The sequence below is a fragment of the Homo sapiens genome, chromosome X, assembly GCF_000001405.40.
Source record: "Homo sapiens chromosome X, GRCh38.p14 Primary Assembly".
Lineage (NCBI taxonomy): Eukaryota > Metazoa > Chordata > Mammalia > Primates > Hominidae > Homo > Homo sapiens.
Genome location: NC_000023.11, coordinates 43,787,985 through 43,810,104, shown reverse-complemented (window position 1 = coordinate 43,810,104; position 22,120 = coordinate 43,787,985). Strand labels below are relative to the sequence as shown.

The window sequence follows — 22,120 nt, the reverse complement described above, 5'->3', positions numbered from 1 at the left end:
CGCCCGGCTAATTTTTTGTATTTTTAGTAGAGACGGGGTTTCACCGTGTTAGCCAGGATGGTCTCGATCTCCTGACCTCGTGATCCGCCCGCCTCGGCCTCCCAAAGTGCTGGGATTACAGGCGTGAGCCACCGCGCCCGGCCCTTCCAATAGCTTTCACTCATGAGCTATGAGATCCCAATCTAGTCATTTAAACTTATCTGAGCTATATTTCCTTTACCTGTAAAAGGAAGAAATAACTTCTGCTGGACCTACTTAACAGGGCTGCTGTAATGATCAAAGAAAAATGCTATATGTAATTAGACCTTTTAACTTAGGTACATCCTAGGACAAGGACTTATTCTAATGTCTTCTCATGATTTCTTCAGAAGAACAAGCCTCCCTGGACAATGTTCAAAACAGTAATAATCACTGGAATGTTTCCATCATGGCCAAATGTGAGGCACAAAACTCTTGCCTCAGATTGTGTAATCTTATAAACTTAGACATTTCCTCCTTACCCCACTTACTCCCTGAAGCTTGAAGATTTGCAAATTTTTATGAGTCTAACAATAGCTCTTTCCTGTGTTTATCAGAAGTTTTCCCTAATCTTACAAAAGAAGATTTGTTTTTATGAATTTACCTAAACTAAGCTGTTGCCTGCTTAGACATAAGACACCAAGGAGGTTAAAGGGTAAAGTGTTTTATTCTGCTTCATGATAGTTTCCTTTACATATTGTTTGGTTCCCATTTACTCACACATTTACTCTGTTTTTGGTTTTAGAGTCTTGAGCAAACCTCCTTTCTAGGAGCATTCCTGAGTTAGGAGGGCTTTAACAGCTGGTCTTTGACACCATTGCATTGCTGGGATTATTGCTATTTGGGCAACCCTCAATATTTTTGGGACTCCATTGAATGAGAATCCGTATAATTCAGCTGAGGTGACATTTCAACTGGGTTATTCAGATGGGATCTGTCAAATAGAGTCTTGGAAGGGGCCCCTTCCCACCCTCATCACAGCATTTCCATATGACATGTACTGTACAAATAATTTATCTCTGGGGAAAGGAAGGAGGGATGGTGGAGAGGTGCCCATCTTATGTGTTCTGGTGGGAGGTTAATATAGAAGGATATGGCTGGGTGCGGTGACTCACACCTGTAATTCCAGCACTTTGGGAGGATTACTTGAGGTCGGGAGTTCAAGACCAGCTTGGCCAACATGGTGAAACCACGTCTCTACTAAAAATACAAAAATTAGCCAGGCGTGGTGGTGTGCACCTGTAATCCCAGCTACTCAGGAGGCTGAGGCAGGAGAATCGCTTGAACCAAGGAGGCAGACGTTGCAGTGAGCCAAGATTGTGCAACTGCACTCCAGCCTGGGCAGCAGAGCAAGACTCTGTGTGTGTGTGTGTGTGTGTGTGTGTGTCTATGTGTAGATATAGATATAGATATAGATATAGATATAGATATAGATATAGATATAGATATAGATGTGCAGGATGCTTTTGTTGGGCAGGGCTCCACATGCAGGTCATGGTTAGTTAGTTAACTCTGCCTTGTTCCAAAAGCTGTCCTTCACTTTTTCCCAGGCCAAGTCCCATGTGTCAGACTGAGCTCTCACTTTCTGAATCAATTGTCTTTATGTTTCCAGGAGCTGCCATGGTTGCTGGTGCAGGCCCTGGCAGTGACAGACAGACATTAATTAACCACATCTGCTGGGCTCACATTCTTCTTCAAGTCATCTGGTGGTGATTTCTGGCTGAACCAATGCATTTGTGAAAACAAGCAAACAAAAAAACCTAAATAATTTAATTGTTTGGCTGAATACTGATTTCTTCCTATCTTTTTATTAATGGATTTTCAAGCAAAAATATGCTGTTCTTCCCACTTATGGTGTGGCTATTTAGCTGCTTATGGTTTTATCTCTTTGTGATTCCCTTTACTCGTGGGCACAATGCCACACTGATAGTGCAGAAGGATGACTTTGTACACCAGTCATAGATGCACATTGCTCTCAATGTGCATCTTGATTTGGTTCTTTGCTATTTAAGTTCCATCCCACACCCACTTTGTACAAGTGCATTGTGTTGAGGGGGCAGGGTTGGGCACTACTCTGCTGGTAGGGATCTGCAGAGACCATAGTGGGTCTGGGTTCAAGGGGAGACTTAAAACAAGTAGGATAGATAGTTATAACATAAGGAACCAAAGTACAAAAGATCAGTTTATAAATCGGGGCATTGTGTGTCAAATAAATGACAAGTTCAAGGTCACACAGCTGAGATTATATCAAGCATATATTGTGAACCTACTGTGTGCCAGCAGTCTCTGCCAGCACGTCCTAGGCATACAAAGATTATAATTATAATAGTAGCAGCTGCGGTAATAATATTGATTGAGAACTTACAACATGCCAGCCACTGTTCAAAGTGATTTACATGTATCAACACACTTCATCTTTCTAACATGCCTCCAAGACAGTTACTATGATCACATTTCACTACTGAGTTAACTGAAGCACAGAGAAGTTAAGCAACTTAACACAGCTAGTGAGTGGCAGACCATGACTCAACCCAGGGAGACTGGCTCCAGAGCCCATGCTCTTGCAGCGTAGGGCCCAGTGAATGAGATAGAATAGTAAATGCATGAAACTGGTGCAGTGGAGTTAGCGGCAGATGAAAGAGAAACAGAGAGCTCTGGGACACTGAGAAGACCACCTAACCCAACTGTTTATGCTAATCTGGGCATACTTCCTGGAAGAAGACGATGGAGTCAATAGATGTTGAATTACAAAGACTGATATCTGGGGCCTGGACGATTAAGTAACTGTCTTACTCTGTGTCAGTCATCTTAGGAGAGGCAGAGCTAGAATGGGGATTGACTTCTTCTTCGTGGAGAATGGTCCCTGGATCAATCCACAGGTTTCTGCTGAGCAAGTTTTATGTATTGAACTCTGATGAAGGAGGGATAAGTGGAGGTTTTCAGGTCAGCATGCAAGTTGTATGGAACATGAATTATTTCTCAATAAAGCTGATTATAAAACAAAATCAGCATGCACTCAGCAGCCAGAACTTGCTTCTAAATACCACTCTCTTGATAAAAGGAAAGCCTTCTTGGACAAATGACAGATCCTAGGGCTTGGGCAGAGAAAATAGAAGATGAGTCTGGAGAATCTTCTAGTGCCAAAAATGAAAAAAATGCTCAACAGACAAAAGGATGGGGACATGTCAAAGGGACTCAGGAGCCGACCTGAAGGAGTGCTCAGAAGTAGAATAATTTGAGCAACAAATAAATCATATTGTATTAGATTATAACACAAGGTATAAAACACATATATATGTCCACTGTTATAAATAAATGAATGAATAAGCAAGTAAAAGGGGAAAAGAGGAAAATCTTCCTTAGAAAAGAATTCAAAAAATTTGTGGGGATTCTCCATCTCCAGAAAGTGGAAGTTAGCTCCCACCATCCCCTCTTGAGGATGATCTGAACTTAATGACTCTCTTCCAAAGAACAGAGCATGGAAGAGGGGTGAGTAGCAACTCTACAGTGGAGAGACCTGACAGACACCACCCTAAGCAAGGAATCAAGGTTAACATCATCCGTGATAAGTCATATTGATATCAAGTGCCCTCTGAGGTGACATGATGACAAGAGCACTTGGTCTTTGTGGTAGTCTTCCCCAAAATTCATAGTCCTAATCTAAAAATGAAAAAAGTAACTTCAGACAGATCCAAATTAAGGGATATTCTACCAGATAACTGACCCGTATTCTTCAAACTTTGAAGGTTATGAAAAATAAGGGACTACTGAGAAACTATCACACACCATAGGAGACTAAGAAGACAGGACAACTAAATGAAATGTGGTATCCTGGATGGGATCCTGCAACAGAAAAAGGATGGTTAGTGGATAAATGGGTGAAATCCAAATAAAATCTGAAGTTTAGTACATAGTGATCTACCAGTGTCGATATCCTGGTCTTGGCAATGTACCATGTAATGTAAGATGCTAACATTAGAGAAAACTAGGTGAAAGGTATATGGGAACTTTCTGTACTATCTTTGCAACTTTTTTATAAAACAAATATTACTTTGTAAAACAAAGTTACTTTGTAAAAATTTGTAAAACAAATTACTTTGTAAAAATGTGTAAAACAAATAGAAACTATATTTAAAGCATAAAGCATAAAAGAAAAGTCAGCAAGTGTCAGTATTCTGATCAACTAGAACTTTCATGCATTGCTGTTGGTAATGTAAAGCAGTGCAACAACTTTGGAACACTATTAAACTTAAAAAGTTAAACATACACCCACTGTGTGACTCAGCCATTCCACTACTAGGCATTGACCCAAGAGAAGAAAAAAACATATGTACACAAAAAGACCTGTACAAGAATGTTTATAGCAGTTTTGTTCACAGCAGATCAAAACTAGAAATAGTTATCAACAGGTGAAACAAACCGTGATGCATCCATACAATGGACACTACTTAGCAATAAAAAGGAACAAACGGAAACTTGGACAAACCTCAGAAATGTCATGCTGAGCAAAAGACGCCAGATACAAAGGTGTACATCTTGTATGAGTCCATTAAAAAATGTGAAAACAGGCAAAAACAATCTATAAGTGACAGAAAACTGAACAGTGGTTGCCCAGGGCCAGAAAGGGGACAGGGATTGTCTAGGAAGGGGAAAGAGGGAACTTTCTGGAATGATGGGAATGTTTTATATCTTGATTGGAGTGGTAGTTACATAGGTGTACACATGTGTCATAACTCCCCAAATTGCATGTTAAATTATTTAATGTGGGTACATTTGTGAGGAGATATTGGTCAAAGGATACAAAATTTAGTTAGATAGGAGAAATAAGTTCAAGGGATGTATTGTACAACATGGTAACTATAGTTAAAAACAATGTATTGTAGTCTTGAAAATTGCTAAGAGAATAGATTTTATGTGTTCTCACCTCCCAAAATGATAGGTATGTAAGGTAATGCGTATGTTAATTAGCTCAATTTAGCCATTCCACAGGGTATACATATTTCAAAATATTATGTTGTGTATTGTAAATATATACAGTTTTAATGGCAGGTTAAAATTTTTAAAATTACTTCTAACTATAAAAAACAAAATACGGAAACTAAACTAAAATAAAATGAGTACATTGTAGCTAAAGTACACCTCAATAGTGTTAAGAAGGGTGACAGTTAATTTTATACGTCAACTTGTGTAGATATTTGGACAAACATTATTCTAATGTTTCTGTCAAGCTATTTTTAAGATAAGGTTAACATTTAAATCAGTAGACTTTGAGCAAAGCAGATTAACTTCCATAATGTGAATGGACTTTATCCAATCAGTTGAAGTCCTTAAGAGAAAAAGATTGATGACTCTCAGGAAAAGAGGGAATTCTGCCAGCAGACTGCCTTTGAAGTCAAACTGCAACTCTTCCTTGGGTCCGTGACCTACCCTACAGATTTTGGACCTGCCGTCCCTCTCAATCAACATGAGCTAATTCCTTAAAATAAATCTGAATCCTTCTCTCTTTCTCTGTTTCTCTCTCTGTCTCTGTCTCTCTCTCCATCTATATCTATATCAATATCATCTATCTATATCTATGTATCTATGTATCTATATATCTATGTATGTATCTCTCTCTCTCTCTCTCTCTCTTTCTCCTGTTGGTTCTGTTTCTCTAAGGAATCCTGGCTGAGAAGAAACATAAAGCTGTATCTCAACCCTTCCCTGAGAATCTTATGGCCTTGTTGGAGAGAGAAGACCAACATGGCCACAGAATTAATACAAGAACAAATACGAAATCTCTTATTCCACAATTCTAGTTTCTCTGCCTGTACAACATCAACAGAAGGTGCATCTTTATTGAATGACTCAGAGTTTTGGGGAAGTTTCTGTTGACTGAGAACCTTAAGTTATTCTGATTCCGTTGAAAGATGCTATCAGAATGCACGACCTGGCTTCTGACTCGGGTTTTCAGATTGACCCAAAGTGGGTTTTTTTGCGTGTCTCTTAAGTGCCATCAACAGGTTAATTCTCCCAGATATTATTTATTTTAAATCCTTGGAACAATGTGTTCCCTTTATTTCTGTGTCGAGGTATCCCTGTGGGAAGAACCAGGTGGTATAACATGTCTAGAAGAGAAGTTTGAAGTTGTCTAATCTTTCTGCTTTGACTTTGCTGATCTCTGGGAACTCCTGTGTTTACCTAGCACATCTGAGTCCTTGGGAAAGCTTTCTGGGCCCTGTTTTGTGGTTCTTCTAACAGATGGTTGCATTCTTGTGATTGATTTTTGATCCCCTTCTAAGTTGTATAATGCTTATAGTTATAATTTTCTGACTCTCCAGGCACACAGAGGCTCCTGACTCTGAGATATTTGCAAGTACCATTGACAAATAAGATTTCCTTAGGTTAACTCCACTTATGTACTTGTATTTACATTTTGTATGGTAAAGGCTCCAGTTTCAGAGAGAAACCTCTTTACCGTGCTTGGTGTGGCAGTGAACTTAATTAACAGAGAATTTTGCTGGCAATCTCTATGCTAAAAAGTTAAGTGGGGTTCTGAGGACACAAGGAGCTAAAAAGTTGAGTGTATATCACATATTGATAACTCACATAATTTTGCTTGCAGACATTTACCAATTTGGCAGATTACCTACTTTTACATTGTAGTAAATATTTCCTTTTAAAAATATCTTGTATCTCACAGGGCAAATCATACCCCTTCAGGGGGCCATTCCCACCTGTATGGAATCCAATTACCTACTTAGATCATAACAACTTTTGGAGGACAATGGATGACATGGGGCGAGAGGTAAAGCTTCTTTGACTATATTTGTATTCTTTTTTGTAATAAGTTTCATCCTTCAAAGAAAGAAAGTAAAATATATCTCCAACACCTAGCACATTGTGAACACATGGTAACTAAAGATTTGTGAAATGAATGAATGAACTTGTTTCTAACCTCTGCAATAATAAGATGTCAAACAGATTGATATTTGTATACTACTGATGAGTGGGCAGGAGATTGGGTGTCACTCAGCCTTCTTGGAATGATGTTTCAAATTTTGGAAATCTTCAGTACATAGCAAAATTAGACTTCTGGGTCTTTGATTCACCACCATGCCCAAACAAGTCATAAGTAATCACACATAAAGCATTTTTTTTCTTTTACTTTAAGCTCCGGGATACATGTGCAGAACGTGCAGGTTCATTACATAGGTATACATGTGCCATGGTGGTTTTCTGCATCTATCAACCCATCGTCTAGGTTTTAAGCCCCACATGCATTAGGTATTTGTCCTAATGCTCTCCCTCCCCTTGCCCCCCAACCCCCGACAGGCCCTAGTGTGTGATGTTCCCCTCCCTGTGTCCATATGTTTTCATTGTTCAACTCCCACTTATGAGTGAGAACATGTGGTGTTTGGTTTTCTGTTTCTGAACACACATAAAGCTTAACTGAAAACTCCATAGACATGATTTGCTGCAGCTCTGTGATCCTTGTTAAATAGTTAAATTTATGAGTGTTCTCTAGAAGTTAGTAACTTAGGAATCCATATCTAGAAATAGCCCAGTTACAACATGCCTCTATTTATTGTGCAGGAAGTTTTATCACAAATTAAATATGGCTTGGGTGGTACAGATTTATAATAGGAAAGCTACATAGACAGCATTGATTATGCAGTAAAAGCAATATTGGATGAATTTGGAAAACTTAACATTTTTCCTCTTTAAGGTAGAGTTTTTAATACTATTTGAATAGTTATTTAAAGTGGAAAATTACAAAAATGAATAAAATAAAAGAGAAAATTACATTTGTCTTTCTCCTTCGAATCCTCATCTGAATGTAGATTCCGAGTGATGCCCCATGGAAGGCTCCCCTTGCAGAAGAGTGGGACAACATGACAATGAAGGAGCTACTGGACAAGCTCTGCTGGACTGAGTAAGTCTTGCCATTAGGCACAGGCATTTACTGTGACCACCTTTTAGGTTTATTTAGCAATACCGTTCAACAAGTATGGGACAAGTAGCTGCTTTGTGTCTAAAACCACACCACCAGCCAGTGGCATGCTGAAAACCATTGGAATTGGCTCCTACCCTGAAGATATCTGTACATACAACTTACTTCTTTGGAGTAGTTTTGTATCACAAAGGTGGTATTACCCTGTGAAGTCCTCAGAACAGACCAGAAGGTACCACTTTCTTTATCTGAAACAGCTTAAAGACCATCAGCTTAAAGCTCTCATTTATTAAGTTGTTGATATAGGACAATTTTTGTATTCTTCACTGGTGGTCAAATGTGGAGATGGTTAGCATGTGCATTTGCCACACCTTGTGTGAAGTAGTGCAATTCTTCAAGGACTTAAAGAGGAACCTCTAAAGCCTTTGTGTAGATAGGTCACAACTACAGGGGAAACATGTGTGACTGGACTGGCTGTTCCCCTTTAGTGAAAAAACAAGTACCTATGAGTTAAGCATTAAATTCTTGTTGGCAGAACTGGGAACTGTAGAGAAATTGTGAAGGCTTGTATAGACAGACCACATGGAGAGGCCACACTGCTCTTGGACAGCAGGGAAAATGGAAAGGATTATGAGGGTTCCCATTCAAGCACGTGGTAAATTTGTGGTAAACAAAATAAGAGAAATGGAAGCCAAATTCAAGGAGACTGCCCTGTCTTGCTAAAGAGCATTAGTTGAGAATATGTTTGGCTCGGGGGTTAATGTCTTCATTTTTAGGCATTCATTCACTGCCAACTAAAAGTAAAAACAAGCTTTTAGAATATCTGAATCTTAAAAATGGAAATAATCAAAAGACATAAAATTCATATATTTTTCATATAAAAATTCAGCTTCTAATAATTTAGCTTTAAGAAAGTGAGGCAAAAGAAGAGAGAGGCACCAGCATGGCACATGTATACATATGTAACTAACCTGCACAATGTGCACATGTACCCTAAAACTTAAAGTATAATAATAAAAAAAAAAAAGAAGAGAGAGGCATACAGGGAGAGAAGGAGAGAGGGAGAGGGAGAAACAGTGAAAGAGGCAGATTCAAAGCATTATTTTTAAAAGGGAGGATCTGAAAGCCCAATAGTAGAAGATCGGCAGAATCAAGTATGGAACATCTAAAAAATTGAGTACTTGAGGGTTTTAAAAAATCGTGTTGTAGAGGAATATTTAATGACTGGAAAAAATAGTAATATTAAACACATAGAAAAGCAGGCTATTGTGGTATGGTATATGATCTCATTTCTAAAAACAACTATTTATATATGCACTGCAAAAGCAATGGACATCCATTGAAGTATTTTTAACGTTTAATATTACCATGCAAACATTTATTTTTAAAATGTTTAAAAACTTTACATCATTAAAAATTATTCTTTAAACATCATATTTCATGGTACCAGAATATTCCATGGGAAATGAATACGTAATGTATTTGTCCATTATCATCCTGTTGAACACATTGGTTACTTTCTGTTTTTTGTTATTATCATTATACAATACTCTATAATAAACATCTTTATGCCTCTCCTGTGTTTTCAACCTTTGAAAGCAACCAGTTCTGGAATAGTAAAATCCTTTTATGTCATGAAATCAATGCGTGTTATTAATTATATTCTTTTAAACATTTACCTAATGCTATCTAACACCTCTATGAGAATGTAGTTTGCAATATAATTTATTTTAATAGTAATAAAATTGTAGTATTTAGTTTTAAATTATATACTTTAGATTTTCAAAATATAATAAGTATGTAATTATCTGCATTTGTTTTATAACTCCTGTTATGAAAAGCTTTTAATAAATTCAGTTAGGTCTTCTCTCCTCAGAGAACTTTTAAGTTTCTTGGTGATAAAATCAATCATATGTTTTTGGGATCACAGGGACCCGACATTTTCTATCGTAGCCCTTGGCCTAGTCCTCCACTTAGTGAATATTCTAAGTTGTCATTTGACAAAATAAAGCATTCTGAGATACTAGGAGTATAAGAACACAAGACAATTTTCCAACTCTTCCCAAGCAAGATACACACAGTATTATTTCCTGGATTTAAATGAAGTAATCCCCAGAATATCCAACCTATTGTTGTTCAAACTAAAGCACAATCATACATTCCAAGACTAATGTTGATTATTCTTTCAGTTATTATCATTTACAAAGTGCACTTCACAAACATGAATTGTATTTTCAATGTGATCACAGCTATGTAAAAACATTTTTTAAAAGACCTATACTTAGAAAAAAATGCATCAAAATGAGACTAGTAATTATCTTCTGGAGGGGCAGAAATATGGAAGACACTCGTTCTCTCATCCTTTTATCTTATAAATTTTCCAAATTTTATATAATGTGTATGTATTTTTCATGTAGAAAAATATTATAACATTTATCTTTTAAAAAGTCAACAGGGCAAAAAATACGGAAATATTGCACTAACTTCCTTGACCTTCCATCCTTCAAATATTGTTCTTATTTCTTTTCTTACTGAAGCTCCTAGAGTAAATTCAAATAAAGGATTAGGAATGGACTGGCCCTTCAGAATTACTTTTAGATCTCCCTTTATTTCAAACCAGAATTATTTCTTTCCCACCAAATTGCCAACAATAACAACTAGAATTCCAGCAATATTTTTGTTAAATATTGGCTCTCCAGCTGGGCCAATGTTAGGTTTCAGTTATTTATTACTCCCTTTACTGTATGCCCCTCAATCCACCTAAAAAATAAGGAAGAAAAGAAATAGGATTTTAGGAAGCAACAAATAAAATACTACTTTTATTTTAAATTGACGTCTGGATATGTGTTTTAGTTAGATATTACAAATTGCCTCTGCAAGGAAGGCATGAGCTAGCAATTTCCATCCCTTCAATTATCCTGAGAAATCTTACAAAACTAACTGTAAGTCGCTTTAATGTATATATGACACCATTTCACAGGCTGTAATGATGGGGACTGTCATAGACGGGCTGTCAGGTTGTTACAGCTGCAAATAATGTCAATAATTGGTATGTGTGTTAGGCATGATTCTACAAACTTCTAGGGTCAAGATACAGTAAAGTAGAGAGATGCCCCTTGGTGAGTAGCTGCACTTCCAAGGCTGTCAGCTGACTAATTAGAAAACATTTTGAGGTATCAAAAGCACGAGTTTTGCGTCAAGTACGATCTGACTTGAAGTTGTGTCGTTATATATTCCTAAACTGTCCGAGACTCCGTTTTCTAGCATGTGAACTGTGGAAAAATAATAGATATTTGATACGGTTGTTGCAACAATTTAACAAGATAATGATTTTAAAGACAATGGAGTGTGGAAAGAGTTCAATAAATGGAAGACAATATCATTTATCCCAACCATTGTCAGCATTACCAGGTGGAAAATGCTGCCTCAGATATAACAAGATTAACAATATGCAAACTTCATGTCAAAGTCAAAAGGGGAATTGGACCTTATTAAAGAAATCCCAGAGTGCACACTACTACTGATGAATTTTATGCTGTGCTAGATATAATGGAGTCCTCGAAATTGCATGAGATAGTTTGCTTTCTGGTGTGCTTCCTGATAGGTGATAACCTCTCACCATTTACCTGCCAATGTCAAGCAAAAGCTTACCCATTTATGCTCTATTAATTGTTTGTCCCCTCATCCATTATTTGAGCTTGTCTTCTGTTAGGCAGTAAAATAACTGAATAGATAACTGTGACTAATTTTGTGTTTGGTACAGCACCTAGCATATCCTTTGCATGTTATGGATGTTTAAAAAATTTTGTTTAACTGATATTTCTCATCAATCATTCATTCGTTCAATCATGCAACAAGTAATTATTGAGTGCTTACAATGTTCCAAGCACTATTTTGTTAAAGGGGACACTATGGTGAGTGAGAAACAGAAGATCCTTGTTCTCATAGGTTGATATTCTAGTGGGGGGAGACAGCAATTAAAAAGAATTAACCAATAATCAAGACAATTTCAGACAGTGAAAAGAGTTATAAAGATACTATACAGTAGCAAAATGATAGAGAATGTCAGGATGCTGGGAATATGGAAGCCAGTGGTCGTTTTCATAGACAAATGTGAATATGTCTTTCTAAGGAAACATTAGAGTAAAAAGAAGAGGGTACAAGATGAGACAGAAAAGGTAGGCATGGGCTGGATCACATAGGGCTCTGGAAGCCATGGTGTAAGATCTGAATCTTATTCTGGTTTTAATAGGATACCACTGGAGACTTTTTAAGCAAGAAAATGACATGATTTGATTTATACTTCAGAGAGAGCATCATGGTAGGGAGGGAGGGAAAAGCCTCTGGCTTTGAGTGTGGTGAACAGATACCAGGTGAGGATGAATGGAGGCAGAGAGGCCAGTCTGAAGGAAGTAATTGCAGTACTCCTGGAAAGAGATGGATTCTAAATTTGTGGTGAAGGTGGAGTGATGTGGTGAGAGATAATGGGACTTCCCAATGAATTGGATGGGGGAAGATTGATGGAAAGAGAGAAATAATGTTTGATTTCTAGAGTGTTGGTTTTTACCACTGAGTAAATGATGGTGCTTTTTACTGAGATGGGGATCACTGGAAGAGCAGCAGGAATGTAAGGAGAAATCATGAAAGCACAGAATCTGGAATAGAAGCTGATTCTGAGTAAGGTGTTTTGTTTACAGGGAAAATAATCTGATATTTCAAAAACCTCCGATGTCACGTTTTGTAATATTAGATTCTAGTGACAATTTTTTGACCTTACCACATTGTTTTAAACTTAACCAAGAAAATGTGTTACTTAAATAATTTTTAGAGAATTAAGAAGCTGCTCTCCTGCGTTTGCCAAGTTTGCTCTTGTTTCTTCCTGTGCAGATCTGCAAAGCAGCTTGCCACTCTCTTTGTGAACCTGTGTGTCACTGCAGAGACCCATGAGGTCTCTGCTCTCTGGTTCCTGTGGTATGTGAAGCAGTGTGGAGGCACAACAAGAATCATCTCGACAACAAATGGAGGACAGGTACCCATCCATTCTTCCACAGTCCCAATGGAAAAACACTGCTACTGAAATGAAAGATCATCATCCTTCAATCATGAACTGCTGAAGTGGGAAGCAGGCTTGTGGCTTTTAGAGCATTACCATGGCAGCTCAAAGTGTTTCTTGTAAGGCAGTCTGTTGTCAGGTACCCACTGTGAGAACCCAGTGTCCAATGTAATTTTAAAGCTAGGCTTGTCTCTCTTTATGCACTGTGGCCATTTTCCATACGCTCAATTATTATTTGGTAAGTTTGTAGGAGACCATCTGAATTAAGCTTAGCTTGAGCACTTCTTGGAAAGCTTATAAAGGAAATTCAGTAATGCATTTTCAATTTAAAACACACACTATTCATGGAATTCATTTATCTATTCATTCATTCAATGCCCATTTCTTGAGCCCCGGCACTGTATAAGGCACTGTGCTAGACACAGTAGGAACATATTGGAGTTCTTAAATAATCTGCTTGGTTGTCATGTTCCATTCTTCTCTCTCCCCCTCCTCCTCTTCTTTCTTTCTCTTCTCCTCCTCCCCCTCCTCTTTCTCCTCCTCCTTTTCTCTTTCTCCCTCTCCTTCTCCTTCTCTGACCTTAACTGAAAATTGAGGAGGAGGCAGCCAGGTCAACTGTGTGCATAGCCAGGTAGAACATTTGGAAGTTTTAGCAAGGCTGAGGGCAGGTGGGTACAGTGAGGTGAAATGAGTTCGGTGGCTACAGAAGCAGCAGGCATCTGACCCAGGATAAGATGGGCAGCCTGCAACAGGGAGTAGGCTGGCCTGGGGGAAGGGGACATGGTGGGAGGCAGGGAAGTTCTGCGCTTGAGCCACAAAGCAAGGGGAAGCAGGCTTAGGTCTGCTCAGGCAAGCTAGGGAAGAGCTTTAGGTACAGCTTCACCAGTTCCAGCTCTAAGCAAAAGACTGCAGATAGGACAGAGAGCAGGGATGGTGACCAGAAAGGTGGGATACAGGGGTCATTCTGAAGATGTCCAGCTAAGGTTGGAGTCTGGGAATCTACAAGAGCATAGCTTGTAAAGTAACTTAGAAATCCTGTAACTTTGTCCAAAGACAGCAATTCCTACTTAGAAAACCATGGTGAAAGCCACTATTCACTGCAGCAAAATGAAATGTTAGACATCTCAGAGTAGACATATGTGAGGACAACTAAGAATTTAGCAATTTATGCCCATTCCTGCGTTTCTCTTTCACCTCCTTTTCTCTTTCCAGGAGAGGAAATTTGTGGGCGGATCTGGTCAAGTGAGTGAGCGGATAATGGACCTCCTTGGAGACCGAGTGAAGCTGGAGAGGCCTGTGATCTACATTGACCAGACAAGAGAAAATGTCCTTGTGGAGACCCTAAACCATGAGATGTATGAGGTAACTGTGATATTGTGAAATATATATTTGATCTTCATCCCAGTTTCCTGGCATACAACTTTAAAAATTCTTAGAATCTCCAGAGTGATGTCCTTTGATGCCAATGATTGATGGCTGGCAGCCCCTAGGTAGCTTCAGGATGGGGCTGGTCACAGGAAAGACCATGGAAAGACTAGAGGGTTGGGACTTTCAGCCCCACCCCCAGCCTCCAGGGAGGGGATGGGGCAAGGGGCTGAAGGTTGAATTGATCACCAGAGGCCAATGATTTAATCAATTGTGCCTACATAAGGAAGCCTCCATAAAAACCCAAAACGACCGAGTTCTGGGAGCTTCTGGATATCTGCACAACTGGAGGTTCCTTGAGAATGGCATGCCTGGGGAGGGCATGAAAGCTCCATGCCCTTTCTCACAACTCTTGCCCAATGCACCTCTTCCTCTGTACCCTTTGTAATATCCTTTATAATAAAACAGTAAACATGTTTCCCTGAGTTCTGTGAGCCACTGTAGCAAATCAATCAAACTTGAAGGGGTTGTAGGAACATCAACTGGAAGCAGATTGGTCAGAAATTCTGGAAGCTGGACTTGTGACTGACATCTGAAGGTGGGGGACAGTCTTGGAGACTGAGCCCTCAACCTGTAGGATCAGAAGTTATCTCCAGGTAGATACTGTCAGAATTGAGTTGAATTCAGAGGACACATGGCTGATGTCTGCTATAGAATTGCTTGCTTGCTTAATATGTGGGGAAAAACCACTCCACATTTGGTCACAGAAGTCTTCTGTGGTGATCGTTGTTGAGTGAGAGAATGGAAAAAAGCACTTTTTTCCATTCTCTCACTCAACATTTGCTTTGAACTCAACTTTGCTTTGAAATTTTTCCACTCAGAGTTACCAAGACACTTAAACAAGTGGGAAGAGGCCACAGTCTCATAGATAATCAAAGCCGAAGTCAACAATGTCACACACTTTATAGACAGTCTTTTTGCCAATAGTGAAAAAGCTATCTCTAACTGAAAAAAAGGAAAAGAGAACCAGAATATTTGGGGTGGGGGAGGATTTATAAAAACTTATAAAGGTATTATCAACCCTCTGTATTTTGCTTTTATGTAATTAGAAAAACACAGAAAATATTTATTTGATAAATATCAAGCACCTCCTATGTGCCTGACATGATTCTAGGAGTTAAGAACACAGTCGTGAACAAAACAGATACAATTCTCTGCCCACATACAATTCTCCTTCTAGTGAAGGAGAAAGACAGTAATGAAACATATAGTTATAATATAAAGTATGTCAGATAGTGATAATTAGTGCGGAAAAAATCAAGCAGGAAGGTGGGGAGAGGGCATACCAGAAAGTGAGATGGGAGAATTGGTTATGCAAGTTTAAATAAGGTGATCAGGGAAGGCCTCACTGAGAAGGTGATATCTGATAGAGAATTGGAGGAGACGAGGGATTGAGCCATGTGGTTCCCTGAGAGAAGAAGATGGAACAGCCAGTGCCAAGGCACTGAGGTGGGAGCAAGCCTGGTGTGACCAAGGAACAGCAAGGTGATCAAAATGGCAGGGCCAGGCTTGGTGGCTAACGCCTGTAATCCCAGCACTTTGGGAGGCCAAGGTGGGCAGATCACAAGGTCGAAAGATCGAGACAACCCTGGCCAACATGGTGAAACCCTGTCTTTACTAAAAATACAAAAATTAGCTGGGTGTGGTGGTGCACACCTGTAGTCCCAGCTACTCTGGAGGCTGAGGCAGGAGAATCGCTTGAACCTGGGCACGTGGAGGTTGCAGTGAGCCAAGATCGCACCACTGCACTCCAGCCTGGCGACAGAGTGAGACTGGGTCTCAAAAAGAAAACAAAAATAGCAGAAGTAAGAGTGTCAGGGCAAATGTAACAGGAGGTGAGATCAGTGATGTAACGGGCCCATTTCATGTGTGGCCTTGGCGATGATGGTGAGAAATCTGGCTTTGACTTTAAGTGCAATGGGAAGTCATTGGAGGTTTTGAACTAAGGAACAATAAGGGCTACTTTAGGTTTCGACAAAATCCTTGTCACTTCTTTAAGAGACTGAAAAGAATATAACGATAGAATGAGAGAGAATCATTGGGAAAAAAACAAAAGCAACACGGCAACAATGTTTAACCATGTTGCTTTTCTTTCAGGCTAAATATGTGATTAGTGCTATTCCTCCTACTCTGGGCATGAAGATTCACTTCAATCCCCCTCTGCCAATGATGAGAAACCAGATGATCACTCGTGTGCCTTTGGGTTCAGTCATCAAGTGTATAGTTTATTATAAAGAGCCTTTCTGGAGGAAAAAGGGTGAGTACTTTCCTTATATAAAAACCTTTAGAAGAAGGTCCAAGAAACTTGTTGCTAAGGCATGCATTTTTTAAAAATGTCAACTTTTATTTTAGATTCAGGGGTACATGTGCAGATTTGTTACATGGATATGTTGCATGATGCTGAGGTTTGTGGTATGAATGATTCTGTCACCCAGGTAGTGAACATAGTACCAATAGGTAGGTTTTCAACTCTTGCTGTACTCCTTACCTCCCCCTTTAGTAGTCCTCAGTGTCTATTATTTTCATCTTTATATCCATATGTACCCCATGCTTAGCTCTCACTTATAAGTGGGAACATGTGGTATTTGGTTTTCTGTTTCTACATTGATTCACTTAGGATAATAGTCTCCAGCTGCATCCATGTTGCTGCAAAGAACATGATTTAATTCTCTTTTTATGGCTGCATAGTATTCCATGCTATATACATACCACATTTTCTTTATCTAATCCACCTTTGATGGGCACCTACGTTGATTCCATATGTTTGCTATTGTGAGTAGTGCTGCGATGAACATGTGAGTGCATGTGCCTTTTTGGTAGAACAATTTATATTCCTTTGGGTATATACCTAATAATGAGATTGCTGGGTCGCATGATAGTTCCATTTTTACTTCTTTGAGAAAACTCCAAATTTCTTTTCACAGTGGCTTAACTAATTTACATTCCCACCAACAGTGCATAAGTGCTCCTTTTTCTCCAACATCTCTTATTTTTTGACTTTTTAATAATAGCCATTCTGACTGGTGTGAGATGGTATCTCATCGTGGTTTTGATTGGCATTTATCTGATGATTAGTAATGCAGAGCTCTTTTTCGTATGCTTTTTGGCCACTTGTATGTCTTCTTTTGAGAAGTGTCTGTTCATGCATTTTGCCTACTTTTTAATGGGGTTATTTGGTTTTTGCTTGTTGAATTAAGTTCCTTGTAGATTCTGGATATTAGACCTTTGTCAGAGGCATAGTTTGCAAATATTTTCTCCCATTTTGTAGGCTGTGTGTTTACTTTCTTGATAGTTTCTTTTGCTGTGTAGAAGCTCTTTAGTTTAATTAGGTCCTACCTGGCAATTTTTGTTTTTGTTTCAATTGCTTTTGAAAACTTAAAGACATGTGTTTGCATGTAACTGTTTTGTTAGTATGCTGGACATAAAATGTTAATCCAGGTTCTAAGCACAGTTCTTTCAAATAAAATATATTGGCACAAACTCATGGAATTAACTTTCTTTAGAATATAACCAACTCTTTGTAAATCAATAAAAGGTTTATTTAATCCTCCCCCAAAATCTTGTGAAAAGAGATGAGTAATCTTTTCTAATTCAGTGTTTTAAAGTATGGGTTTATAAAGCCAATCACCAAGGTTGAGATTCTGAAAATGTCTTGGCTCTCTCTCACTAGTGTCGATTCTACCATATTAAATTAAATTCATTTATTCACTTGCACATATTCAACAAGTGTACTACTCAATTGGGCAGAACATTGCAGGGTTGCTCACTAAAGTGCTGGATTCTACAATGATGGGAATGTTCTAGAGCTGCTTTAATACACTAGTCACTAGCCACATGTGGGTACTGAACACTTGAAATATAGCTAATGAGACTTGGGAATCAGATTTTAAAATTCTATTTAATTAATTTTTTTTTTTTTGAGACGGAGTCTCGCTCTGTCGCCCAGGCTGGAGTGCAGTGGTGCGATCTTGGCTCACTGCAACCCCTGCCTTCCGGGTTTAAGCGATTCACCTGCCTCAGTCTCCCAAGTAGCTGGGATTACAGGTGCGTGCCACCTTGCCTGGCTAATTTTTTGCATTTTTAGTAGAGATGGGGTTTCACCGTGTTAGCCAGGATGGTCTCGATCTCCTGACCTCATGATCCACCTGCCTCGGCCTCCCAAAGTGCTGGGATTACAGGCATAAGAATTCTATTTAATTTTAATTGCTTTAAATATAAATGCAAGTAGCCACATGCAGACAGCACAACGCTAGAATCTTGTCATATTTGCTCTTATAGAACCCACTTTTCTTCCAAGTGGAGGCCATGTAAGAAGAGTCAGTATCTAGAACGGAGGGTGAAGGGCGGGATGTACTCCAAGGAGGAGCAAGACTGCAGAAAGAAGGTTGGAGGCAAATGGGGAAAGTGCCACAATTTTGGCTTAGGGTGCTTCTTCCTGTGTAACTACTCTTTTTCCGCTGCATCACAGGCTCCTCATTCTCCACATTGCAGATAATCACGTTTAGGACTGCTATTGGATTGGTGCATCAGTTGGGCAAGTAATCTACTGTTTGCAAAGTCAGTGCAGTGACCCACCACAAAGAGCCCTGTCATTTTAGTCTTTGAATCTAATGGCTGTAACACACTGGTGCTGAATCTCTTCCTCTTGTGACCCAGGCCACCCATTTTAAATGACTGGCTGGTGGCAAGTAGATAAGGTTTAGGACCAGGAATACAGTCTTCTCTGAATGAGCATGGGTGCCTTTATTTATGGAGAGAAACTGTAACTTTCCATTCATGCCTGCAAATCTTTATCTTAGGCCTGCTATGTGCCAGGCAAGTTGTTAGGCACTAGTATCAGAAAGAAAACCCAAGACCTCCACCCCTCAGAATCTGACTTGGTCCTTGTTGGTAATGAGCCTTGCATAAGACTTTTAAAAAATGATTGTGGGCAAGGCATAGTGGTGCACACCTGTGGTACCAGCTTCTCGGGAGGCTGAGACTGGAGGATTGCTTGAGCCCAGGAGGTGGAGGATACAGTGAATGAGCTATAATTGAACTTCAGCCTGGGCAACAGAGTGAGACTCCATCTCTATCTCAAAAAAAAAAAAGTTTGTTGACATGAGATAGCCTCACCAAAGCATTTGAGATTTCTTTTGAGTTACAACTTTAATGTATTTCTTCAACTGGGCGCCTATTGTATGCCAGACACAGTGCTAGGCACTGAGAATTCAAAGGCACTTTTCCTTGCCCAGAAAATCCAGGCTCAGGAGGAAGACAGTCATGCAAACTGGTAATTGCACAATGTATTGAGTTCTAGGCTATTATAGAAACACCAAGTAGGGCTCCAGACTCACATCCAATATGATTCCTGTTACATTGATAAGTGTATTCAATGACACTTATTTGAAAGTTTCTGTAATGAAATCTGAAGAAGTTCACTCTTATAACAAGATCTTTGCTTTGCACTAGACTATCAACATCACTGCCAAAGACACTGTAATTAACTAGTAACATACAAGCTCAGTCAATATGAGGTAACAAGATAGAAGGGTATGAATTAAGCAGCCCCAACAATCCAGCACAGTGATTAGCACATATCAGGCACACAGTCAGTAATCACCAGAGTTTTGGTTTTATGTTGCTTTGTTTTGTTTCACAAGTTCAGTGTGGCTTGGGTTATTAAAGAGAAGGTAACATTTTGTATTTTGATACAGACAGTGGTAGCCAACTCTTGATTGCTTCTCCCCTCCACACCCCCCACCCAATCCCAGCATCATGCTAAACACTGCTTTTATTTTATTTTTAATTGTAGATATTTAAGGTGTACCTCATAATGTTTTGATACACATGTACATAGTGAAATGATCTTGTGGTCAAGCAAATTAACATACCCATTTCCTCACATGGTCATCTCCTGTGTGTGGTAAGAGCACCTGATTGCTTCTAGATTGATTATCCCAGGAAATGCTTCCCAGTCTCTTAGTGTGTAACATCTTTGTGAATTTGCAAGGACAGGCTTCCTATATTTTGCTGGCCTTCCACTGAGGCATTCTAAGTCTAGCCGCCCTCACCGTCAGCACCCCATCCTACACGGGATGCATCAGCCCTTCATTCTAGCCCACTTCTGTGGAAAGGATAGGCTGTTAGCAATGCATTGAATTCTTGTGGTCTCCTTGCTTTTGTTCATCTATGAACCATTTCTACTTTCCCTTGAATATTTACATCTAATTTATCTCAATTTATGTTTTCAATGGCAGAAGCTGTACTTGTTTTTCTAAATTACAGAAATAAATATAATGACCATAAAACTTTCAAAAACTGAAAGTATGTGAAAAATGTTTCTCTTCTATTGTTCCTCCCCCTAGAGGGCCACTGTTAAAAATTTAGATTGTTTATCCTTAAAGATTTACTGTATGCATAGGTAATACAAGTTGAACATCCCTAATCTGAAAACTCAAAATTCAAAATGCTCCAAATTCTGAAACTTTTGAAGCATCGACATGATGTCTGAAGTAGAAAATTCCATATCTGACCTCATGTGATGGGTCACAGTCAAAACTTTGTTTCATGTACAAAATTATTAAAATATGTATAAAATTACCTTCAGACTATGTGTATAAGATGTATTTGAAACATAAATGAATCTGGTATTTGGGCTTGGGTCTCACACTCAAATCTCATTATGTATATGCAAGAATTCCAAAATCTGAAAAGAGCCAAAATTTGAAACACTTCTTGTCTCAAACATTTCATATAAGGGATAAGGATACTCAACCTGTACTTTAAATATATGTGTGTGAGCATCCCTATATATATGTAGAGAGAACTATATATACTGGAAATACATGTTAAATAATATAATAAATATTTTATACAAATATAACTTTAATTTTAAATAAATATGTTAATATATTTTTCCAAAAACATGTTTTTTAAAAAACATACATCATACATATCACACTGAAATTTGCTTTTTCCTGTTAACAATATGCCATGGACATCTCTCCATAGCAGTACATTTAAATCTAACCCCTTTCGACAACTGAATAAACAGTATCTCATTGTGTGCCTTATCAGAATTTACCCAAGACATCAGCTGTTGATAGTCATTTTTCTTGTTTCCATGTTTTTGCTATTATACACCATGCTGCAATAAACAGCATCCTCCATATAGCTCTACATATTTGTATAGGAGCATTTCTTTTTGATAAATGCTGTAGGATGGAATTATCAAGTCAATTGATTTGGGTAGACCTGTGAAATTTTTGTTAGGGTCTGTCCTCTCACATCCTTGTCAGTTGATATAAGTTCCATATCTGTCTTCTCCAAATCTCATGTTGAAATTTGATCCCCAGTGTTGGAGGTGGGGCCTAAAAGCAAATGTTTGGGTCATGTGGACAGATCCCTCCTGAACATCTTGGTGCCGTCCTCCTCCCTGAGGTAATAAATGAGTTCTTGCTCTGTCAGTTCCCATGAGAGCTGGTTGTTAAAAAGAGCCTGGCACTTCCCTCCCCTCTCTCTTGCCTCCCGTCTCACCAAGTGATCTGCACACGCCAGCTCCTCTTCACCTTCAGCCATGAGTGGAAGCTTCCTGAGGCCCTCATGAGAAGCAGATGCTGGCACCATGTTTCTTGTACAGCCTGTAGAACCATGAGCCAAGTAAATATCTTCTTTCCTTCATATATTACCCAGCCTCAGGTATCCCTTTA

General features: G+C 38.9%; 1 protein-coding gene across 2 annotated transcripts in view; it reads left to right on the top strand.

Moving 5' to 3' along the window:
- Positions 1–22,120, top strand: part of MAOB (monoamine oxidase B) — a 115,841-nt gene that overhangs the window by 72,346 nt on the left and 21,375 nt on the right. For both annotated transcript variants that reach the window (NM_000898.5, XM_017029524.3), the window contains exons 4-8: positions 6,701–6,805; positions 7,842–7,933; positions 12,839–12,980; positions 14,217–14,366; positions 16,527–16,686. In NM_000898.5, coding sequence (NP_000889.3) covers positions 6,701–6,805; positions 7,842–7,933; positions 12,839–12,980; positions 14,217–14,366; positions 16,527–16,686 — 649 coding nt within the window. The remainder of the gene's footprint in view (positions 1–6,700; positions 6,806–7,841; positions 7,934–12,838; positions 12,981–14,216; positions 14,367–16,526; positions 16,687–22,120) is intronic.